Genomic DNA, 25050 nt, shown 5'->3' on the forward strand with positions numbered 1-25050 from the left:
TCAAGTGTAGTAAAGAACACAGACAAAAATGTGACAATTACAAATTCGGATAGATGCTATAAGAATACATAGTTGTTTTAGTCACGTAAGAGAATCTGACCTATATTTGGCTGAGGGAAGATTTCCCTGAGGAAGAGAAGGATACACTGAGAAATAAAAAATGAGAAGGAAGCAGTTGAGCAAAGGAGGAAGCAAAGCACTCTGGCTAGTCTGCTGCACGTGCTGGAGCTCTGCGGCAATCTGCTTCCAGCCAAGAGGGAGCAACGGGTGCTGATTTTCCTCCTTACCTGAAACTACCAAAAACAACACAGACAAAATATATTCAACAATGATTTTCAACACAGTGGACTTCACACAATGAAGATGGTCATCACTAAAAGACAGGAAACAAATGTAGGCCTTTTTGTTGACAGAGCTTCTTTGGTTGACAGAGCTCCCAGGCCATGACAAAGAGAGAAAATCTGACATAGATTCCCTGAGCTGGGGCGGTGACACTAAGAATCCGGTAAAACAAAAGCAGAGAGAAATCACAGGACAGAACACTGGAGAGGAGAAAGCAGCAGAGGAAACAAACTCTGGAGATCTGCAGAGGTCCCCTCTAAAGTATTTAGTGGAATAATGAAAAAAATGGATGTGTGCTAGGAAACTTCCTAAGACCAAGGGGTGGCGAGCGGTGGGGGGGCACGATAGAAAAAGATGAGGAGAAACCAAGTCTGCTGTTCACAAGTGCCCAGAAGAGGGTCCAATCCCAAGAGCCAGGCCCAAAACACTCATACTTCACAGGACAATAAATAATCCGAAAACTCAACTATAATTTTTAAACAATTATTGTTTAAAAAGATCTTTACACTTGGAAATTTTTTTAATTTATGATATAAATCCTGGGTGAAAGGGGCAATAAAAACAGATAGTACAGAATTTCTTTTGAAAATAATGATAATAAATATACTACATATCAGACTCATTGGGATATATATAAAGTGATCCTAGAAAAATTCATAACAGTAAACATTTCTGTCAATAAAAATAAAACAATGAAAATGAATGAAATTCCCAGTTCCAGTTAAATAGAAAAGCACAAAAGGTAAACTAAAAGAAAATTCAAGGAAAGAAGTCATAAAATAGCAAGGATAAAAGCAGAAATCAATAAAGTAGAGAATATAAAAACAGTAAACATAATTAATAAATTGAAATCCTGATTTTTAAAAAAAATCCAGAAAGACAAATCATGAGTTAATTTGATCAAGAAAAAAGATAATAGACATGTATATAAATTAACAAATGACAAAAGAAAATCACTATTTAAAAAGAATTTTTAATATTATAAAAGATTACTGTGAAAATTTTACTTGTACCCTAGAGTATATACAAACAATAAACAAAATTTTAATTTAAAAAAAGACTACTTTGAAGACCTCTATACTATAAATGTGAAAATCTAGATGAAATAGATAAATTTCTAGGAAAATGGAGATTAACAAAATTAACTCCTGTAAATAAAAGACAAATCTTAAGCACACCAATTTACATGGAAGAATTAGAGTAAGTTAGTAGGAATTAAAGAAAGTTACTCCACCAAAAAAAAGAAACAAAAAACAAAATACCAACCCCAAATGATTTCACAAGGAAATTTTCCTAAACTTCCAAAGACCTGATAGTCCCAATGCTCCATAAATTGTTCCAGAGTACTGAAAAGGAGAGAAAACTTCTTAAAGCTTTTAATGAAACCAGTTTTAACACCAATATCTAAACCAGCTCAAGACAGTATTCCCCCGCCACAAAACAAACAAACAAAAAAACAAAACCTACATGGTGGGAGATGGGGAAGATGGTGGAGTAAGAAGCACCAAGTATCTGTCTCCCCACCTAGACAACAATAGCATTGGCAGAATCTGTCTCATGTAGTAAATCAACAGAAACTATCCCTGAGAAAGACCAGATGGTAGCTTTACTAAAGAAAGACTTTAAAACAACTGTCTTAAAAATTCTCAAAGAGCTAAAAGAAGCTGTAGACAAAATCAAGAAAATGATGTATGAACAGAATGGAAATTTCAATAAAGAAATTGAAATCATAAAAAGGAACCAAAAAAGTTCTGGATATTATTGTAATCTTAGTTTGTGGCTTCACTTTTTGTTTTCTACATGATTTAAGAGACTAATGCATTAAAATTTATATATGTCTATGTTTTTGAATACACAATGTATAAAGATGTGATTTTTATGACATCAATAACTGAAAGAGTGTGGGGATAGAGTTGTATAAGAGCAGAGTTTTGTCTGTTACCGAAGTTGAGCTGGTATAAATTCAAAGTAGAGAGTTATAACTTTACGATGTTAAATGTAATCCCCATGGTAACCATAAAGAAAATAGCTATAGAATATACACAAAAGAATGGAAAAGGGAGTTAAAATGTTTCACTACAAAAAAAAAAAAAAATCAACCAAACACAAAGGGTGACAACATGGATGAACCTTGAAGACATTATGCTAAGCAGAATAAGCCAGTCCCAATACGAAAAATGTATAATTCCACTCAAAAGAGGTGCTTAGAGTAGTCTCATCCACAGAGACAGAAAGCAAAATGGCGGTTTCCAGGGGCTGGAGGAAGGGGGAAATGGCGTATCATTGTCTAATGAATAAAGCTTTTCAGTTTTACAAGATGAAAGAAGTTCTGGCAATAGACGGAGTCTCGCTCTGTCGCCCAGGCTGGAGTGCAGTGGCGTGATCTCGGCTCACTGCAAGCTCCGCCTCCCGGGTTCACGCCATTCTCCTGCCTCAGCCTCCCAAGTAGCTGGGACTACAGGCACCTGCCACCACGCCCGGCTAATTTTTTGTATCTTTAGTAGAGACGGGGTTTCACCGTGTGTTAGCCATGCTGGTCTCGATCTCCCGACCTCGTGATAATGTCACTGGATATATACTTAAAAATAGTTAAAAGGATAAATGTTATATGTATATTACTGAAAATTTAAATAAGTAGTGTTAAAATTGCAGACCAAAAATACTTATGAATGTCAAAACCAACGTACTAAATAAAATATAACCAAACAGAATCCAACACCACATTATGAAAATAACAAACCATAGCCAAGTGGGATCAACATTAGGAAATTCCTTCAAATAATATACCGTATCAATATATTTAAAGAAAAAAAAATCAAGAGATTATCTCCATAGATGCTGAAAAAGCCTTCACCAACACCAAAATTCTACAATCACTCTTTACAAAAAAACACTCAAAAATGAGAATCGAGGGATACTTTCATAATATGATAAAATATATGATAATGTGTGTGCATGTGTGTGTGCGTGTGTGTGTGTGCAAGATACTCCACTGCTATTCAACATTGTACTAAAAAGTTTATTAATGGAATTATACAAGAGAAATTAATTGGAGGCACAAAAATTGACAAAGAAGAAAAACAATTCTATTTGCAAATGATACACCATCATACCCAGAAAACCCTAGAGAATCCATGATAAAACTAACTCAATAATAAAAGAATTCAGTAAAGCTATAGGATATGGAATTAACATATACAGATATATATATGTTAGATATATAGATATACGTTATATATATTGATACCAATACCCTTTATATACACAAACAATAAGTAGTTAAAGAACATAATGGAGAAGAAAAAAGTCTCATTTACAATAGCAACAAGGAAGATTCAATACTTGGAATAAACTTAGCAAGAAATATGCAAAACCCAAATGAATAAACCTTAAAACACTTCTAGAAGACAGACAAGTCAGCTTGAATAAGTGGACAAACTTGTTCTTGGATAGGATCATTTAACACCATAAAAATGCTAGTTCTCCCAAAGTTAATGTATAAATTTAATGCAATTCCAATAAAAATACCAACAAACTTCTTATGGAGGTAAACAAGTTGACACTAAAGTCTATACGGAAAAAACAAACATAAATAATAGCCAGGAAAACATTTTAGAATAAAGCTATGCGGAGGTACTAGTCCTACCAGACAATAAAACATACTATAAAGCCTTTAATGACAAAATATTAGAGGTATTTCCTCTAATTAAGACAGTGTGGTAATTAAGACAATGTGGCTTTGGTATATGAATAGCTTACAACAAGTGGAATCAGAAAAAAATTCAGAAATAAGCCCATGCACACATGAAAATTTGATTTATGATTATTATTAAGTTATCTCACATCACTGGGGCAAACATTGACATGTCAATAAATAGTACTGCAACCTATATCACGGATAATGAGCTAATAGTTCCAATATTTAAAATAAAGAATAAGATTAAAACCCAATGGAAAGTAGAAATAATGAACAAATTTAGGGAAGAAAATAGACATCCAGCTTCAAGAAGTCCAAAAGACTCCAACTAGAATTAATTTAAAGAAGTCCACTACAAGATATATTATAATAATTTGTCAGAAGTCAAAGACAAAAACAGAATTTTGAAAGCAGCAAGAGAAAAGCAACTTTTCATATAAAAGGGGGCCACGATGAGACTATTAACAAATTTCTTAGCAGAAACCTTACAAGCCAGAAGGGAGATGGATGATATATTCAAAAGAAAACAATGGGCAGTCAAGAATACTCTCTCTAGCAAAACTGTCTTTCAAAAATGGAAGGGAAATAAAGACTTTCTCATGTGCACAAAAGCTGAAAGAGTTCATCGCCACTATACCTGCCTTATAAGAAATGCTAAAGGGAGTCCATCATGTTGAAATAAAAGAATGCTAGGCAGCAACATCAAAACATATGAAAGGTAAAATTCCTTGTAAAGGTAAATATATAAACAAATATAGGATATTTTAATACTATAATGACAATGTGTAAATCTTGGAATTCTGGTATAGTACTTAAAAGACAAAGTTATAAAAATAACTCACTATAAAAATCAGTTAATGAATACACAACATTAAAAAATATAATTTGTGACATGAATAACATAAAGTGGGGGAGAGGCAGTAAAAAAGTAGAGTTTTTGTGTGCAATTGAAATTAAGTTGTTATAAGCTTAGAATAGACTGTTATAAGTATAGGCTGTTTTAAGTAAGCTTCATGGTAACCACAAAGAAAATATCTATAGAAGATACACAAAAGGAAATGAGAAAGGAATCAAATCTCATCATTACCCAAAAAACATCAATGAAACACAAAGAAGGGCAGTAAGAGTAGAAAAGAGGGACAAAAAAGCTACAAGACTGACTGAAAATAATTACCAAAATGGCAACAGTAAGTCCTTCCCTATCAGTAGTTACTTTAAGTATAAATAGAATAAACTCTCCAATCAAAAGCTATGAAGTGGCTGAAATGAATTTTTAAAAATAAAATAAAACAGCCAGGTGTGGTGGCTCACGTCTGTAATCCCAGCACTTTGGGACGCTGAGGTAGGCAGATCATGAGAGATCAGGAGATCAAGACCATCCTGGCTAACACAGTGAAACCCCGTCTCTACTAAAAATACAAAAAATTAGCCAGGAGTGGTGGCATGCGCTTCTAGTTCCAGCTACTTAGGAGGCTGAGGGAGGAGAATCACTTGAACCCGGGAGGCATAGATTGCAGTGAGCCGAGATCGAGCCATTGCACTCCAGCCTGGGCAACAGAGCCAGACTCCATCTAAATAAATTAAATAAATAAATAAATAAATAAATAAATATAAAACAAGATCCAACTATGTGCTGTCTACAAGAGAGAGACTCACTTTGGATTTAAGAATGCACATAGGTTGAAAGTGAGAAGATGGAAAAAGATATTTCATGCCAATGTTAACTAAAAGAGGTAGCCATACTTAGACAAATTAAACTTTAAGTCAAAGATGGTCACAAGAGACAAAAAAACGGACATTATATAGTGATAAATGCATCAATTCATCAGGAAGATATAATTATAAATACATTGCACCCAACATTAAAGCACACAAATATAAGAAGCAAATGTTGACAGAAGTGATGATAAATATAGAACAACATAATAGTGAGAAATTGTAATATCTCACTTTCAATAATGGATAAAAAATCCAGACAGAAGATCAATAAGGAAACAGATAACTCAAACAACACTATGGCCCAAGTGGACCTATCAAACAAATACAGAATATTCTACCCAACAACAGCAAATTATACATTCTCCTCAAACACACATAGAACAGTCTCCAGAATAGTTCACATGCTAGCCCACAAAACAAATCTTAACAAATTTAAGGAGACTAAAATCATACCAAGTATCTTTTCTGACCACAACGGAATGAGACATTGCTAATAGAAATAATTTCAGAAAGTTCTCAAATATGTGGAAATTAAAAAACACTCTTGAACAACCAATGGGTCAAAGAAGAAATCAAAAGAAAAATCAGAAAATATTTTGAGAAAAACAAAAACTAAAGCACAACATAGCAAAGCTTATGGGAAACAGCAAAAGCAATAAAAGGAAAGTTTACAGCAGTAAATGTCTACAGTAAGAAAGATCTCAAACAACCTAATTTTACAACATAAGGAACTAGAAAATGAATAAACTAAGCCCTAAGTTAGCAGAAGGAAGGAAATTAAGATTTGAGGAAAAATAAATGAAATATAGAATACAAAATATCAATAAAACTTAGAATTGGTTTTTTAAAGGTCAACAAAATTAACAAATCTTTAGCTAGATTAACCAAGACAAAAAAAGACTCAAATAAATAAAATCAGAAATAGAAGAGGTTATATTACAATTGATAGCACAGAAATAAAAAGGCTAGTAAGAGACTACTATGAACAACTACACACTAACAAATTGGATAACCTAAAGAAATGAATAAATCCCTGAAACATACAACCTACCAAGACTGAATGATGAATAAACAGAAAATCTGAACAGCCCCACAATTAGTAAGGAGATCAAATTAATAATCATAATCTCCCAACAAAGAAGAGCTCAGATGCTTTCACTGGATAATTCTACCAAAGATTTAAAGAAGAATTAATGCCAGTCTTTCTCAAACTCTTCCAAAACATTGAAGTGGGAAACCTGAAGCCAGAATTACCCTGATACCAAAGCCAAAGACTTTACGTTAAAGAAAACTACAAGTCAATATTCCTGATGAACATAGATGCAAAAATTCTCAACAAAATGATAGCAAACTGAATTCAACAGCACAATCAAAGGATCATACACTCTGAGTGGGATTTATCCCTCAGATGGGAGAATGGCTCAGCATCTAAAAATCAGTAAATGTGATACACAGCATTAACAGGACAAAGGATAAAAATCATACTGTCATGTCAATAGATGCAGATAAAGCATTTGTCAAAATTCAAACACCATTTCATGATTAAAACATTCAACAAACTAAGAATAGAAGAAAATTACCTCAACAAAATTAAGGCCATTAATGAAAATACCACAGCTAACATCACCTGAATAGTGCAAAACTAAAAGCTTTTCCTCTAATCAGGAAGACAGCAAGGATGCCCACTCTCACCACTTCTATTCAACATAGTACCAGAAGTCTTAGCTAGAGCAATGAATCAAGAAGATATAAACATCACCCAAATCAAAAAAGAAGTAAAATTATCTCAATTTGCAGATGACATAATCTTATGTGTAGAAAACTCTAAAGATTTCACCAAAAATTTGTTAGCAAATTCAGCAAAGTTGAAACAAATTCAGTTGCAGAATACAAAATCAACATAGAAAACCATTTGTTTTTATACACTAACAATGACCTGTCCACATGAAAAAGAATGAAGTTGGACCCTTATCTTATATCATACACAAAGTTAACCCAAAATCAAACTTAAACACTGATACGTAAAACCTGAAATTATAAAACTCCTAAAAGAAAACACAAGAACTTTGCAACATTGGTCTTGGCGACGATTTCTTGGATATCGTTACCAAAAACAAGGCAACAAAAGCAAAAATAGACAAGTGGGACTACATCAAACCAAAAAGCTTCTGTGCAGCCAAAGAAACAATCAACAGAATAAAAAGGCAGCCTACAGAATGGAAGAAAATATTTGCAAACCGTACATTTGATAAAAGGTTAATATCCAAAATATATTAGGAACTCACACAACTCAATAGCAAAAAAAAAAAAAATGCAAATAACCCAATTTAAAAATGAGCAAAGGACTTGAAAAGACATTCCTCCAAAGAGACATCTAAAAAGTCAATTATATGAAAAAATATCCAACATTACTGATCATCAGGGAAATGCAAATCAAAACCATAATGAGGTATTACCTCATACGTGCTAGAATGGCCATTATCAAACACACACACACACACACACACACACACACACACCAGGAAATACCAAGTGTTAACAAGAATGTGAAGAAACTGAAACCCTTGTGCATTGATGGTAGGAATGTAAAGTGGTGTAGCCACTACAGAAAACGGTAAGAAGGTTCCTCAGAAAATTAAAACTGGTATTAGCATATGACCCCGCAATCCCACTTCTGGGTATTCATCCAAAAGCATTGAAATCAGGATCTCAAAAAGATACTTACACTTCCACGTTCACTGCAACATTATTCACAATAGCCAAGAGTTAGAAACAATCCAAATGCACATCAGTGGACAAATGGATAAAGAAAATGTGGTATATACATGCAATGGAATACTATTCAGTCTTTAGAAAGAAGGAAATCCTTTCATATGCCACAACATAGATGAACTTGGAGGACATTAAGCTAAGTGAAATGAGCCAGTCACAGAAGGATAACTACTGCATGAATCCACTTACAGGAGGTATCTAAAATCGTCAAATTCATAGAAGCAAAAAGCAGAATGGTGGTTGTGGGGGCTAGGGGAAGGGGAAAATGGGAAGTTGCTGTTCAGTGGGCATAGTTTCAGTCACACAAAACAAAAACTTCTAAAGGTCTGCTGTACAACAACTTGCAAATAGCTAACAATATTGTATTGTACACTGGAAAATTTATTAATAGGGTAGATCTCATGTGTTTTTTATCACAGCTCTTCTAATGGGAAAATGGGGAAAGGCATGAGCAGAAAATTCATAAAATTAGACCAAAAAATGGCAATTAAACATATGAAAAATGTTTACCCTCACTCATCATTACAGAAATGAATTTCAAGTACACTCAGATACTATTTCTTTCCTGAAAAGTAAGAAATTTGAAAAAAAAAAAAAACACTGTAACAACGCACTGAGCAAGGCCGTGGAGAAGCTTGCACTCTCATACCTCGCTGATCGAAAAGCAAACTGATGGACATTCCAGTTTTGCACAACCACATCTCACCTGTTAGAGGAGAATCTGGGAATATCTAAGGGGAACTTCATATGCACTTATCTTTTGACCCAAGAATCTCACTTCTAGGAATCTACCCTGAAGACACACCTCCAACCATATGACAATTCGTATGTGCAGGTTTACTCATTGCAGCATTGCTTGTCATTACAAGACACTGGAAACAGCCTAAATGCACATCCATAGAAGAACAGTTGGGTAACCTATGGTACACAGTGAAGTATTAGGAAGCTCTCTTTGAAATGACATCGGGTAATTTCCAGGATATGCTTTTAATCACAAAAGGCAATGCTCTTTGTACAGAGGAAAGCTGACCATACCCTCCTTCCCAGAGGCAGGCAGCGCAAATTGGAACTGGGAGGTGTTTTAACTCTAATCAAATTCAAAGTTTTGATTATTACACAAGAGTGGGTATCTAATTATCAACTGAGACTTTGTCTTCTGACAAAGTAACTATAGAATTCTTTATGAATAAACAGAAGAAACCTAAAGTCTGGTGGAGTTTTCACCTAGACCAAGAGGGAAATTTATCTCACTAAATAAATTCTAAAGGGGGAATGAGCTATAACATACAGTTTTGATTGCATCCCACCAGTTATGCCTGTTCAGCATAAAGTTACAATCCACTGCTGAGTCATGGTCACCATAAGCAGTCATTGCTCCCAAACATGAGACAGAAGGCTAACCCAGCCCATGGATGAAATGCTCTCCACAAGTGTACGTGAGATGGACTTTAAATATTTCCTCCTCTTAATTCAGGCCACCTTGGTGATGTACTCTTGCTATAGGTGTGGTTGGAGAGTTTTCTGGAAGCATCTCTCTCACTGCTATACTTCCACTGCTATACCCTGAATACATAGATTCCTAAAGGTTGACTTGCCAACAGCCAAGCTGAGCACTGACCTCAGAAAAGCAATTCTTCCTTCCGGTTATGCATAATCTGGGGAAGTGCCTTCCAAAGACAGAGAAAGAGGGCAGTGATCCCTGAGACTGGCTGCATGCATGTCCAAAGAGCACAGGAGGAAAGGAAGGTGAGTGAAGGTAGCACTGTGCATGTGGTGATGAGGGAAAGGGTACTTCTGGGCTGGTGGGTGCCTGCTCTACTTTTCTGCACAGCCAAGCTAAAAGCACTGCCCCTTTGACGCTGCCCTGGCTGGAGAAGCAAAGGACTCACAGGGGCAGGTCCAGCGGCAGCCACAGGTGTCTTCCACTTTAACAGGGGACTGGCTGTTAGGGCATGAAGGCCTCGGCCCCCGGTCACAGTTGACCCGATGACTCTTCAGCAAGGTCTGGCCATCTGGCTGGCAAGTCACGGTGTGGCACTGGTCTGGCAAGGTCCAGACGTCCCCGGGCTGCAGAAGAAAACAGCAGATTCAGGCAGGGAATAAGATGAGGTACTCCAACTCTAAGCCCATCTGCCAGACAACTGACCCCTAGAATTGAACACGGGCCTACACAGCAAGGAGGCCTCCTGTACATGAGACAGGAAGCAAAACACAAGATGTACAGATGGACCCTCAAAAACAAGATAATAGTAAGAGGAAGCGCTGGACTAAGACCAAAGGAGGAAAAATTAAACAGTGGGAACAAGAGCCCCAAACACATCTCTAATCTTTCTTTCAAAGTCAACAGAAAGGAACTTACCCTCTTCTCATTCCCATCCTCATCCATGCGAATCCTAACAAATCCTGCAACAGACACAAATAAGACCTTAGTTCCCATCTTTCACCCAGAAATTCTGAACCATTCACAATGTCTGCTTAAGCAACCTGGTCTAGTTTTTGAAGTCAACTCAACTCTGAAAAGAATCTGAACAAGGTTAACAGTGGAGACCTAGGGACATGTGGCTGAGGTGGTCATCCTGTGGTTCTTCAGACATGCTCTGCGGTTGTTAATAATTATGATGCCAACAACAGCGATAATATGGCAATAACTACAGCTTACGCTGTCATTATCTTGGTTCACATGTAGATCACGCCAGGGATGGGGAAGGTGGGGAGATGAAGCAAGATCCTGGAAACCTGAAAGAGATCTACTTGAAGATTCCTACCAGGAGAGCTGCCATCTCTCTGTACAGCTAATGTGATTTGCTATAAGTCAAAACTTGTGTAGAGTTATTGCCCTTTAAGGGCAAACTTGCACTGACTTATTCCCCTGAAAGACAGTAGCTTTATGCAGGTTTTGACTTACATCTAGTAACGGGAAAATATATAAACCCAGGCCTCCCCCCAAAAAAAGCATGTGTGTGTGTGTGTGTGTGTGTGTGTGTGTGTGTGTGTGTGTGTGTGTTTTGAGACAGAGTCTTGCTCTGTCGCCCAGGCTGGAGTGCAGTGACGCGATCTCGGCTCACTGCAAGCTCCGCCTCCTGGGTTCACGCCATTCTCCTGCCTCAGCCTCCCAAGTAGCTGGTACTACAGGTGCCCGCCACCATGCCCGGCTAATTTTTTGTATCTTTAGTAGAGGCGGGGATTCACTGTGTTAGCCAAGACGGTCTCGATCTCCTGACCTCGTGATCCACCCGCCTCGGCCTCCCAAAGTGCTGGGATTACAGACATGAGCCACCGTGCCTGGCCAAAAGCGTATTTTTTAAGTTTCTAACCTAAAATCAACTTAAACTATGGTACTTTGATATGAGTCTCCATGTTATTGTATTTCTAAAGCCCTTTATACCCATGTTGAGAGTGAGTCTAGGCCCATGGGGAAGAAGACTCTATGGAACTCTGGGGTTCCTTGCTTATGTCTTCTGATTCCTTTGTCCAAGATCCCTCTACACAAATAAGCTTAGGCTCTCTGCCAAGTTCACATGGCCAATTAGAGTGGAAATAGGACCATACACAGAAAGCTTTCTGCTGGCCCCACGGGGGCTTGTGGTATACACCTCCCATGAGCAGAAACTTGAATGTCCTGGTCTATATAATAATCTTCTTTCAAGGCCAAATCTTATGCATGGGCACCCTGGGGTCTCTTGAATAGTATTTTTGTTTCTTTGGCGGGTTTGTTTTGGAACTTTTTTTGAGGGAAGTAAGAAAGGTATTATAAGACTCACGAGAGCACAGTTTGTGGAGGAAGGAATTGCCCAAGGTGACCATGGTAGGGAGGTCTTCGATTTGCTGGAGCTTCACCATGTTGGAGTCGCCTGCTGGGCCGGCCAAGATCCGTAGCTGGGCTGCATCGTAGCGATCTCCAATTCCAACAGGGAACACTGTCACTCCTAGAGTCAGCAAAGAGACAAGAAAGGATCTGTGGGCAAGAAGGTTCAAAATGGACTGGCCTGACGTTATATCCAGCATCTGAATACAGCCTCGTGTTTTCCAGGCTGGTCACATACACCAGCCCTATGAGGAAGATGTTCAGTCAACAGATATTAATGAGCTCCTACTCTGTGTCAGGTACTATTGTCAGCAATAGGGGTACAGCAGTGAACCAAGCACATAAAGTCCCTCCCTGTCCCCCGTCCTCATGGAGAGATAGACAACAAACACACAAAGTAAATATATAGAATTTCAGATGTGGATAAATGCTTAGGAAAAAAACAAAATGAGATAAGGGGGATGAGAATGCCCAGGGCTGAGGTGTGGGTTATCGTTGTATATATGGCAGTTGGAGAAGCATTTGGTGAAAAGATGGCATCTGAGCAGAGACCTGATGTAAGGAGGGAAGGAGCCAAGAGGATGTCTGAGGGAGGGACATCCCAAGCAGAGAGAAGAGTGAGTGCAAAGGCCCCAGAGTAGAAGTGTGACTGCATGCTCCCGGGGGCTGGGGAGAGAGGGACAAGCAAGAGAGGGAAAGGGCATGGATCAGGCAATGCTCCATTGGCCACAGTAAGGGCTCACCATGTTCTGTGAATGAAACAAACCAGCCAAGACTACAGAGCAGAGGGACAGGGGCTGACTTTGATAGTAAAGGGCCACTGCAGCTGCTGTGCTGAGAATGAGCTGCAGGGGACAAAGGTGGAAGCTGGGATTCCAGTTAGACAGCTATTTCAATAGTCCAGGTGAGAGATGCTGGGGACTCAGATTGAGGTGACCCTGGTGGACATGGTGTGGAGAGGTGCAACTCTCAAAGTATTTTGAAGATGGAGCTATAGTTTGTTCATGGCTTGCATGGAGGTATCAGGAAAAAGGAAGAAGAATCAAGGATGCTGGGCTTTTTGAACTGAACAACTGGAAGGTTGGAATCGCCATTTTCTAAGATAAGAAAGACGGATGTGAAAATCAGGAGTTTAGTTTTGCCTGTTAGAGCATGCAAGCTGAGTTGAGGTGAGGCTGGAGATACGAATTTCAAAGTCAGAGATGTATAAATATATTCAGACCCATGACACTGAACTAGACCACCAACAGGGTATATGTAAGAAGAGAAGAGAAAATATCACAGGGCTGAGCCCAGAGAATGTGCATGCTCATTTACACATGAGAAACCGAGGCTTTAGATGGTTAAATGACGTGCTCTGGATCATATCTGCTTCCTCAAGACCACAACTGCTTCCTTTCCCAGTGAAAATCTTTCTTTGGATTCTTGATACTAAAGGAGAAAAAATCTCCATCCTGAAATTCCTCAATTCAGCTCTCCAGAAAGTTCTAGGAATTTGCAATGTGCTTCAGGTTGGAATGGATTTTCTACTAGCAGCTTTTCAGCCCTTGTAAGTTCGTTATATCATCCAAATATATATCCTTTCCCTTTTAGTGTCCTTTACCCTAAAATTATAGATTTCATAAACATGTCACATTCATTCACTCAACAAACATTAAATGGTCACCTATTTTGTGCATCATACACAGATGATACAAAAATAAGCAAGATCTTCCCTTGCCTTCAAAGAACTCCCAGTTTTTTGCAAGGAATAGATATGTTACAAATACAATACAATACGATTTGCACATTTTTAGTAGCTCATATGTGACATAGAGAACGGAGCAAATAACTTCCTCAGGAAGAACATCAGGAAGACAGCAGAGAAAAGACAGGGTTCTGACAGCACTCCTAGGCAGGGTTCTGAAAGATGAACAGTTCTCCAGGTGGCCACGAGGGGACTCAATGTCACTCCACTCACCCAGACCTCCTTCAGCTGGGAGGTGGTCCCTCAGACTCTACCACCTGTCCCAGCTCACATCCTGTTGATATTAAGAACATGATAAGCACATGTTCTTATGGAGCACAAGGCTGGACATCTGGATCCTTCCCTTTCCTACAGCATGATCCTTTGTCTCTCATCCATCAACCCTGCCAAGCCCATTACCTGGTACCAGGAAAGGACTCTAAATACATGAAAGTCCCCATTGGTTCTCAAGGCCCCACAATGAATCACTCTGGCCTCAGACATGACATTTTAGTAAGAGACCACGAATCCTACTTTAGAAAGAAAGGGCATAGAGGTATGATCACTCCTGGACACAAAGGGAAAATGTGGAGAAATTAAAGGGTTATAATTAGTTATAAAGATATAGGATCAACACACACTTATTATTGTTTGGTTTCCTAATCACATCGTGATTGGATAATTTCCTGCTGTTTGAAACCAGGACAGAGGTTGGTACTGAGCATATTTAATATCAGCCACAACATCCAAAAGTAACCCCAGGCCACTTTTAATCCTCTATCATTTCTGAAGTCTCGCTCTCCTGAATTGAGGACTGTACACCAGATTCTTACTGTTGGACCTGGCGGCATCAGCTGCTGCATCCACTGAATCCACAGAGACATCCGTGACCAGGATGACCACCGCCTTCGAGGCTCCCGGCCTGGCACCATGCATTTCTGAAGTCAAGTGTCGCACAGCAAAGCCCAAGGCATCCCCTGAGGATGGAGAACAGATCACACCAAGTCAGTACTGACTGCGGCTGGACACCCTGTCTCACGGTGGATCCTTAAGTCACTTAAAAGCTGAATGATTCAGAGACTCCAAGGAACACCCAGTTGAGATCTGGAGAGACGTGGAAGAGCATCTAGCCCCTCACTTTCCAGGAGAAGAAACTAAGGCCAAGGAGCAAAGTGACTGGCCGAGGTCACACAGTCACTTATGCCAAAAATAAGAACCAGAATGCAGCTTCTGCATCCAGCCTGTGGCACCAACGTTACCGATTTGGCTGGGGCCTCCCTCCCGCTGCATGACGTCCACAAGGCTCAGCAAATGGGCTTTCTCCGGGGCCACGTTCCATGGCACGTCAATGGTGGTGATGCTTCCATACTGGAGCACTGACCCCTGAGTGAGAGGAGGCCCTAAACGGAACAAGAAAATGGGGATTATTCTGAATCAAGTGGAGCCCCAAAAAGAGCCTCTTCGTCACCTGCTGCTTCAGGTGCCTCACTCACTCACCTATATTGGCTTTTGAAATGAAAGCCTTAGCAAAACTCTTCATTTCATCAAAAGAAGAAGCTGGGAAACTGGAGGAGCCATCCAGGAGAAGGATCACGTCCAGGGGCTGGCTGCAGTCTGCAAAGATAACCAGGAAGGTGAGCACACAGGTGCCAGCAGGGGCACTGGCCGCCAGGCCTACAACCTGACATCCCATAGGATCTGCAGGGCGTGCTGACCACGTGGCACCACCAAGGGGGGCGGGGGCTGCCTTTGTGAGTGCAAGGGCAACGTGGGCCAGGGAGGAGGGGATAGGGGAGATGGAGTTCCTGGGGCTGGACTACCTCAGGTTTGGAGACACTGAGAAGCCTCCAGTTCTACCCAAAGGAAGCTTAAATGTCTACAAATAAAAGCAGTAGGCATGGGCTTCCTCGGTAAGAAGGGGCCGCCACTCTTCTAGAAATGAGTAAAATACTGGCCTGGCAATACAAGACTGCAAAAGGAAATGGAGCGGCAGCCCCTCCCTGGACAATGAGCTGCTGTGTCCTCAGATCTTGCAAGGCAGGTGAACGTACTGTGATTCTTCCAGCTATAAATGCCTAGTGCTCCTGTTAGTGTCTGAGCACATCTGAGATTTGATGAAATGATGTAATTGTTGTTTTCCTCAGCAGAAATATTACAAGAATTTAAATAAATCTATGGCCATGAATAAAAACAAAAACAAAGAAACAAAAGTACTGACAAGTGTGAGACTCAAAAGATACTAAAAGAAGGCTTATTATTCTGAGATGGTCCCAAACACACCGAATAAAGATGTTCAGGAACTAGGAATGGATTAGACACCAGTGTCAGTAAAAGGTAGTAATAACAGCAGTGGGAGCAAGCATTTTTTTTGAGCACTGTCATGTGCCAGATACTATTTTAAGCAAGTAGGTGCTATTATTATCCCCATTTTATAGATGAGGAGACTGATATACAAAGAGGTTAAGTATTTGCCCAAAATTACCCAGCTAGCAAGTGGCAGAGATAAGATTCAAACTAAGGCAGACACTGACTCCAGTGTCTGAAGACTGCACCTGCTACCTGGCACCTGACATCCTGGTCTCGCCCTGAAGAATGTCAGCTACTCAGAATAATTTCACCCACCCAGTGTGGTCAAAACGAAGCTTATCATCATCACCTTTAACAGAGGTTACCTTGAAGGTGGAGGGTGGAATTGGGTGGGGAAGAGGCCGTGTGATAAAGTAAGACTTGCATATTTTTTTTTTTACTCCTTAGTGGCATTGTTTAAATGTTAACAATAGGCTTCCATTACCTTTGAATTTACAGAAGCACACACAATAAGAAAAGATCTTCCCCCGCAAAAGGATCACAGTTTGTCTCCCTGCCAGGGAGGTGAGGAAACACAGGCCCTTTGAAGGCAAGTTTCAACCAAGGGCACACAGACCAGGGAAGCCAGGATTAGAACCCAAGTCATATCTTGGCAGATGCATGTAGTACCAAGGCCATGCCAGCCCTCGCCCAGCCCTCCCACCTGCACACAAGGTGCCAGCATACCAGGGGCAGGGGAGCGGGTGGGGATCTGCAGCCCCTCTCCGGAGCAGCACCTCTGCAGCACCAGGTCAGGAGCCTCTCAGGGGAGCGTCTCAAAGTCCTGGATGAGGATGGGGGCATTGGGCCAGCCGATCCTCTCCAGCTCCTGAACGTTGGCATTAGGGCCCACTCCAATGGGCACCACCTGGATGTCTCCAGGCAACCTCTTGATCTTATCAGAGGCAGGATTTCTGGTGACCATGGAGACCAGGTTGGGCACCTGCTCCCGGTCACCCTGGCTGACCAAGAAGCTGTGGTCGGAGGGGTACAGCAGGGCCACCCCAGTGTTGGTCCTGTTGCCACCCTGGTAGCGGATCTCTCGCACCCGCTGCAGGATGTCCCCTTTGGACTGTGCCTCGCTGAAGGGGTACTCCACGGTCACCATGTAGGAGTACTGCAGCACCGTGACGTGGATGCTGTCCTGGCCCACATCCATCCGCTGAATCACCTCCTCCATGAACTCCTTGCTCCTGTTGAAGTTGGCTTCACCAATTTTGTCCGATCCTTCCAGGACAAATGCCACATCCAGAACCATGGAGTTCCTCTTGGGCCCCAGGGTCGAAAGCCCCAAGAGCCCCGGGCCCACAGTGACTTGTGCCATGTGGGGGGGCAGAGTAGGAGGAGGGGCGTCAGGGGCAAGGTCACAGAGGTAGCTAACGATCTCTTCCCTTTGCTGCTCCAGCTCATCCACACCGCTCAGCACGAAGGCCTTGTTCTCAGGGGCCTGCTTCTCAATGAGGCGGATCTGCTTGAGGTTGGCATGGGGCCCAATGCCCACCGGGATCACGATGACCTTCTTCTTCTTCAGGCCCTGGACGTAGCGGACAAAGTTCCGGGACATCCGTTGGGGCTCCTGGCTGGCCATCAGGAGCAGGGCGATGCGGAAGGCTTCAGGGCGGTCGATCTTGCTGATGATTTGGAACAGTGTGTATTTCAAGGCCTCGCTGGTGGAGGCCACCTGGCTGCCCGCATACTTCACCTGGCTGGCAACGCGCCGCAGCTCTGACGGTCGCTTCCGGTCCTTGAGCCCGATGTAGGCGTGGGAGCCGTCGTGGTACTCCACCACAGCCACGCGGACCCACTTCTAGGAGATGCGCAGCCGCTCCATCATGTCCACCACAAAGGCCTTCAGCACTTCAAACTCAGCCTCGGACAGCCTGGAGGAGCCATCCAGCAGGAAGATCAGGTCCAGTAGCCTGCTGCAGTAGAAATCGTGCAACAGCGGTTCTGAGATGTCCTCCACATACAGAGTGGTGGGGCTCACCGGGGCATCTGTGGGAGGTACCACCAGGCCTCCCGGCTCCTGGCAGGCTTCACAGGTGAGGGTGACACCATCACAGTGGCTGCAGAAAAGAGCGAAGAAATTAAAATGGTTCAGAAAGAACCTATGGACACTTCTGAGCCCTACAGTGTATGACTACTTCCATATTCCCACAGAATCTCCTCTGTTCCACCTGAACTTGAGATCCCACGGACCATTCCACACCCAAGTGAGATGTCACTGTTTAACATCTGTCCCCAAATAGCATGCCCCCCCACTTCAAAACACACACATAGCCGACTTCCTTTGATTCTAGAAACCAAAGCTTTAGCCCATCCTAGGATATGAAAAAATATACTCGTTGTTCTAGGCCATCCACACAGCCACTCAAAGCTGATTTCTTTTCAACCTACATCTTTAGCAACATGAATACTTAATTATAATCTAAGCCTTCTTACAAGTGTCTCCAAGAACAAATGTTACTAAAATGTAGACGCTAACCTGTGCTTGTACATGTTCTGTTGAAGATAAATGCTTTACAGTACATATTCTAACAGAATGTAAATTGCATGAGTTTTAAAACATGTTTAATACGTTGGGCCCTAACGAAGAGAGAAAAAATTGGAGCAAAAACATTGTGGAAAGATGAATAAAGATTCAAAACCCCAGCTTTATCTAGCAGAACAAATTATTTGGGAGTAGCAGACAGGGGTCCCCAAGGTGTTAGGCCTAAGAAAAGACATTCACTCATTCCTCCAGCAGACATAGGGTGAGCACCTCTCATGTGCCAGGTATTGGCCAGGCTCTGTGCCCAGCCCCAAGCACACACCACAAGTCTGTAGTAGAGCAGTGGCCCCACACACACAAATTCCTACACTACTATGCCAAATTTCGAGGCTCTGCTGGTAACATCACCTTTTTGCCAGTGTCCCGGAAAGTGGCACGGCCTGCCAGCCCACAGGTGAAATCAAGTGGCCATGTGGTGGAGACCAATATGGGCCAGGACCATCTCCTCTTTGGACTCTCAGCCTTGGAGGCACCTGGCCTTCAGCACTCCCAGTAAAGCTGACAAGGCGGCAGTGCCCTGAGCCTGGGAAGTGTCCCCCTGTGGCTTGATACCAGGTGATGCCCCCAGCCTGCTGTGGGACTTCTGTCCACACACTGCTTGCAGCTTCAGCGTGCACCGTGGCAGCTGCCCCTGCCCGTGTGCCAGCAAAGGAGGTGGGGAGAGGGCTCGAAGCTCTCATGCCCTTTTGGCACAGAACCCCAAGCCAGCATCAGAATCACCCAATCCTTTGCTCCCTACAGTCCCTGTTTCAGCATAAAGAGTGTGCGCAGGTAGAGTCTTACTAGGAAGTTAATTCCTCCTTCCCATGATCCATGAGATTTATTGCTTCAATCCTTGGTTAACGGTGCGTGAGTGACATACTTTCTAGTTTCCTGTGTTTGCTAGAAAACTCACCCCAGGCAGTGTTCGTTCTTGTTTGTGCAGATGGTGGTGGCAGGATCTGACTCTGGCAGCTGTGACCATAGCCCCTCCCCAGCGAATTTACATTCTCAAGTTTAAGCTCCCAGAAGGCCTGATCAGTGTCAGGGAGTGGTGTTGAATAGATGTGGATTTTAATAAATGTTCCCTACTTATGAGCAGGACTTCAGAGGGCTCAGAGCTCACCCTGAGGACTCCTTCTCACCTCCCCAAAGGCCAGTTTCCCAGAGGCAAGTCCAGTGAGAACCCAGGGTGAGAGCAACGAGCACCTTCCCTCCCCATTATGACAGCCACACCCTGCCACCTTGACTATGGCCCCCACGACGTTCATGTTACCCTGAGGGCCCCGCGTTCCATCTCACTTTCCTCTCCTGAGTCGCCACCTCCAGTATATGGACACCTGTGCTCAGACTAGTCATGACCTACAAGGACAATAAGTGACCATACCCTCACCTTCAGTGAGAAAAGCAAAAACCTGTTAGGACTTAAAAACCTATTAAGAGCAAAAACATTGTAGAGGAATATATGTGGAGGAAGCAGTCTAGTCCATCCCTAAAGAAAAAGAAGCAAACCCTAGGAACAAACAAAACAATAAACTACACTAAATAATGAATTAAATAAATAAACAAATAAAATAAACTCAGTCTCTCAACTCATGTGGCTAGGACTTTTTACCCAAAACCTAGTCTCTGAGCTGGCCCCTGGAGAAGCAATAAGATTCGTCACTTCAAACAATCCAGGCATCTGTTTTACCAAATCTGGCAGTGCTCAGGGTCACTGGGATTCAAGGTGACTTTCTTTCTTGAGGCAAAACGCCAGCCAGCCACCTCACACACCGGGCAGTCTTCAGGGTCAACGCAGGTCTGCAAAAGCTCATCCAGGATTTTCCCTGCAAAAGAAAGCTCTCATTAGGAACCAAAACGCTCCCCTTTCCCACAAGGAAGTCTCATTTTTAACTAAAAGGGAGGAGCCAACTCCTCCTCCTGCCCTAGAAGCCAACTCCTCCTGCCTGCACCCCTAGGGGTCACCCTGCCACTCAAGGAGCATCTCTCCTCCTTGTGCCTTGATTGATCCCTCTGCAAAACTGGGAGCGGGGATTCCTTCATCCTACCTCACCTCCCCAAGCCTCAGGACAAATGAAATCTTATCTCCAGGGCTCTTTCTGCTCTTCTGAATAACACCTTCAGTAACTCTCGAGCTGTGCTGTACCATAGGATAGTCATAAACTGCATGTGGCTATTTAAGTTAAATTAAGTAAAATTCAATAAAATTCAAAAATTCAGTTCCTCAGACACACTCGTCACAGTTACATTCAATACAACATTCCCCCACTGCAGAAAGTTCTATCGGCAGGGGCTGCTTTAGGTGAGAATCCCATAAATAGGCACAGAAAAGCATTTTGGAGGAGCTCGACTTGAGAAAAATCACGACTGTCCTGACTCTGATGAAAGAACCCACGGAACCTGCAGCAGCCTTGCAGGTCAGAGATAGGACGTGGCAGGTGGAGGCTGAGATGAAGCAAGACCTAGAAGCACCTTTCCATCCATCCCTATCCCATCCCACCAGCCTGACCCCCAGGGATAGAGGCCTCACCTGGAGGGCAGTGGGCATGGCAGCCCTCCACACACTGCACAGGGCAGGCCAGTGGCTCAGGGTGCTGACACGTGACTTGACAGGCAGGTGCACAGCTGTTATAGCGCCACTCACACTCATACCCGTTCTCCCGGAGATTCCTCTCCTCGCAGCTCTGGGCTGTGTAGACAGGAGACAAGGCTGTGGCCACAACAGGCAAAGCCTCCAGGACTGCAGACCCATGTGGTGATGGCCTGCGCCATCTGGAGATAATGTTGGGGAACTAGGGGACTATGGGCGTCACCAATATTAGAGACTTCTGGATTGTTGAAGCACCTAAACCAGAATCTATTGGTTCTGAATTCATTTCTTTTTTTAATTTTTGTAGAGATGGGGTCTTGCTATGTTGCCCAGGCTGGTCTTGAACTCCTGGGCTCAAGGAATCCTCTGGCCTCAGCCTCCCAAAACACAGGTATCACAGGTGTGAGTCACTGTGCCTGGCCCAGTTTTCTACATAAAAGCATTAAGTTGCTTATGTCCAAAGAAGGAAGATTCTATAGACATGAATGTATGAGTTGATCACTCATATTGGCAAATATAATCACGCCTAATTAAAGACATAAATCAACTTCCTTCTTTTCATCAGTATTCCCTCTTCTCCTCTGCCAGAATCTCTCCAGAAGAAAAGTATCCACATGTTCATGCCTTGAATCCATGTCCCGCCTCAAAGTCCATAATATAAACTTCTTACTCAGCCAACGTCTTAACCCTCGTTAGCCCTTGGCCATCCAGTCCCATACTAGCACTGTCTTCTCTCGCCCATGAAGATATCCCCCTGCACTCACAAGGTCTTCAAGCATAGACACATGGGAAGAAGGGAGGGCATCTGAGAACATGAGGGTGTCAGGACTCATGGCACAATGTGGCCGTCCTCCAGGTCACCACCTTGCCATGCTGGGCACACACGTGGGCATAGGCAGCAATGGTGTCGCAGAAGCAGGCGCAGTCCCCAATGGACTCACAGGAGCAGGTGTCGTAAATGCAGACATCCAGGTATGGCTCGGGGTCCACCTGCAAAGGCAGCCTCAGGTGGCCCAGGCCTATGGCCAGGTGTCAGAAACTCTGGCTCTTAGTCTGGGTGCAAATGTTCTGATGGTCAATTTAAGGATAAGGGGGGTCCAGGTAGAAGGAGAAATGTAGCTCAATGGTCTCAAAGAGGGAATGAGTGGGAAGGCAAGATTCTTAGTTTCTAATCTGCATTCCAGCAAGAAGAGTTGAATAATGCAGTGCTGCTGGCCTTCTGCAGAACACAATGAGCCTGAGGATATTCCAGAAGAACATTCCCTCTGTCCCTCTGCCTGCCTCCCTGCTCAGCCACCCATCTGTCCTCACAACCCACTCTTGGCCTCATGAGCATGTGGGTGTTTTTACAAAAACACAAACACACATATGTGCTGGTCACTGTCTTTCTTTGCCTCAATTCAGCAAGCAGAATGGGGAAATACATCAAGCCCTGCAGCTGCCTCACTGCAGTGCTATGGGGCAGGTATGCAGAACAATAGGGCCTAGACTCTGATTCCAAATCCAGTTCAACCAGTTCCCACCCTTCCTCATCCCAAAACACGCCTCTAAACACACTGGACTTTTTCAGGGCAGTTATGACAGAAAATGAATTCAGACACTGAGTGGGTCATTGTTTCCAAGACGTTCCAACAGTCCCAATGTCCCCAGCTCCTCCCCTGTCCTCACTCTTCCAACTCAGATGCCCAGGATTTCCACCAAACCGGGAATGTAAGTATCCTTTGGAGTCCTCAGAGACTGAAAATCACTGCATAGATAGAAAGAGAATTGAGATCCATGTTTTCAACCAGTCTCTCCCACATTGGTGGTGCTACACAGCAACATGTATGTGTGCATGGCTGTGTGTGTGTACATAGACTTCTGTAGTCACATATGTCCATGTACAAGCCCATGTCCACATGTGTGTACACACATACATGCAGCAGATAAGAGACAACCGCACTATGGTCGGGCATGGTGGCTTACACCTGTAATCCCAGCACTTTGGGAGGCTCAGGTGGGTAGATCACCTGAGGTCAGGAGTTCGAGGCCAGCCTGACCAACGTGGTGAAACCTCGTCTCTACTAAAAATACAAAAATTAGCTGGGTGTGGTGGCGGGTACCTGTAATCCCAGCTACTCGGGAGGTTGAGGCAGGAGAATCGCTTGAACCCGGGAAGCAGAGGCTGCACTAAGCCAAGATCATGCCATTGCACTCCAGCCTGAGTGACAGAGCGAGACTCTGTCTCAAAAAAAAAGAAGAGAGACAACTGCACTTAACCCTGGGGAGTTCCTCCTTGTCATTAGAGATGAAGACACAAAAATAAGTCATAATACGAGGACTCAAAATCACCAAAAGTAAGGCCAGAAAAGAATTTCTGTGAGACAAGAAATGGGCACCAAGGGGTTTTGAGGAGTGGGAGAGGACGGTCTTTTGGTCTGGACAAATGCAGCAGTGACAGGAAAAGGAAATCTCTGGCTCTGGTGTTGAAAACAAGATACTTCCATAAGAGAACAAATCCTAAGACTGGGGCCGAAAGAGAAACGTTGGCACATGCCAAGGGGAGTTACTTCTCATGCAGAAGGAAATGTTTTGCCAGGCATTGCTTCCCCTAGAAACTGTTGATTTTACTTTTTGTTTCCCAGATTGAAAGCCAAGAAAAAAAAGCTAAAGTGGTGTCTTGGTGCAGATCATGTCAAGACACAAGGGTAGTGTCCACGTTAGAAGGTCACACTCTGTGTCCATACCACTGGGCCAAGCCTTGGGACCATCTGCTTCCCACTACCCTCAAGGTCCTCACCAGCTTGTTGCAGTCCTGGAAGACGTCACTGGTAAGGATTCTACAGGAGGAATCCACCATCGTCTGCTTCATGATGTTGTTATGGCAGGTGGCAGGGGATGAGTCCAGAGGCACCTGGGAACCAGGCAAGAGATAGGCCAGCCGTCAGCTGGTCAAACTGGGGTTATTCAGCCCAGAAGGATCCAAGAGACCCTCCTTCCCACCCTGCAGCCACCTGAAGGTCATACCACCCACAACCCCCCTTCCAGCCCCCATAAGAATGGGGACAGAGGGACATTCCAGGAAGCAAGCTCTCGGGCTCTGTCCACACAGAGACCCAGACGTAGTTTTCTGGTGTCAGCAGACTGCGAGCTCACTTTCCAGGAGTTCCCAAAGTCCACAGGGTCTTCCTCCACTTGGAGGTTGCTGCTGGTGAGGTCACTGTTCTGGATGCCATCAAAATTCCCACACAGGCCACACACTTTCTCCTTGAGAGACAAGTTGAGGGATGAGCACCGTCAAGCCCAGGGGCATGCTCTCTGGCTCAGGGGAAAGGGGAACGTTCCTGGCGGCAATGGAGGCAGAGGGCATTCGAGGGAGAGGAGGAGGAGCGGGACAGAGACTCAGAGGAGGCCCGAGGTGAGCAGCAAAGCCTTGCCATTGCCAAGCCCTATTCCTGAGCTTCCTTGCTGGCCCCATTTTATTTGAAGCTATGGAAACAAAGAGAGGCAACATGCCCATGTCACATAGTCAGCCAAGGGC

General features: G+C 43.1%; 1 pseudogene, besides 1 other annotated feature; it reads right to left on the reverse strand.

Annotated features, from left to right (window-relative positions):
- On the reverse strand, positions 10414-24778 carry VWFP1 (von Willebrand factor pseudogene 1; annotated as a pseudogene).
- Positions 17421-17578: a silencer, noted in NCBI's record as "fragment chr22:17177994-17178151 (GRCh37/hg19 assembly coordinates)". NCBI's record gives its function as "represses an EF-1alpha promoter that drives an FKBP-Casp9 reporter gene in an ReSE screen in HepG2 liver carcinoma cells {active_cell/tissue: HepG2}" and the evidence as "EXISTENCE:reporter gene assay evidence [ECO:0000049][PMID:32094911]".

This window comes from Homo sapiens, chromosome 22, assembly GCF_000001405.40.
Source record: "Homo sapiens chromosome 22, GRCh38.p14 Primary Assembly".
Taxonomy (NCBI): domain Eukaryota; kingdom Metazoa; phylum Chordata; class Mammalia; order Primates; family Hominidae; genus Homo; species Homo sapiens.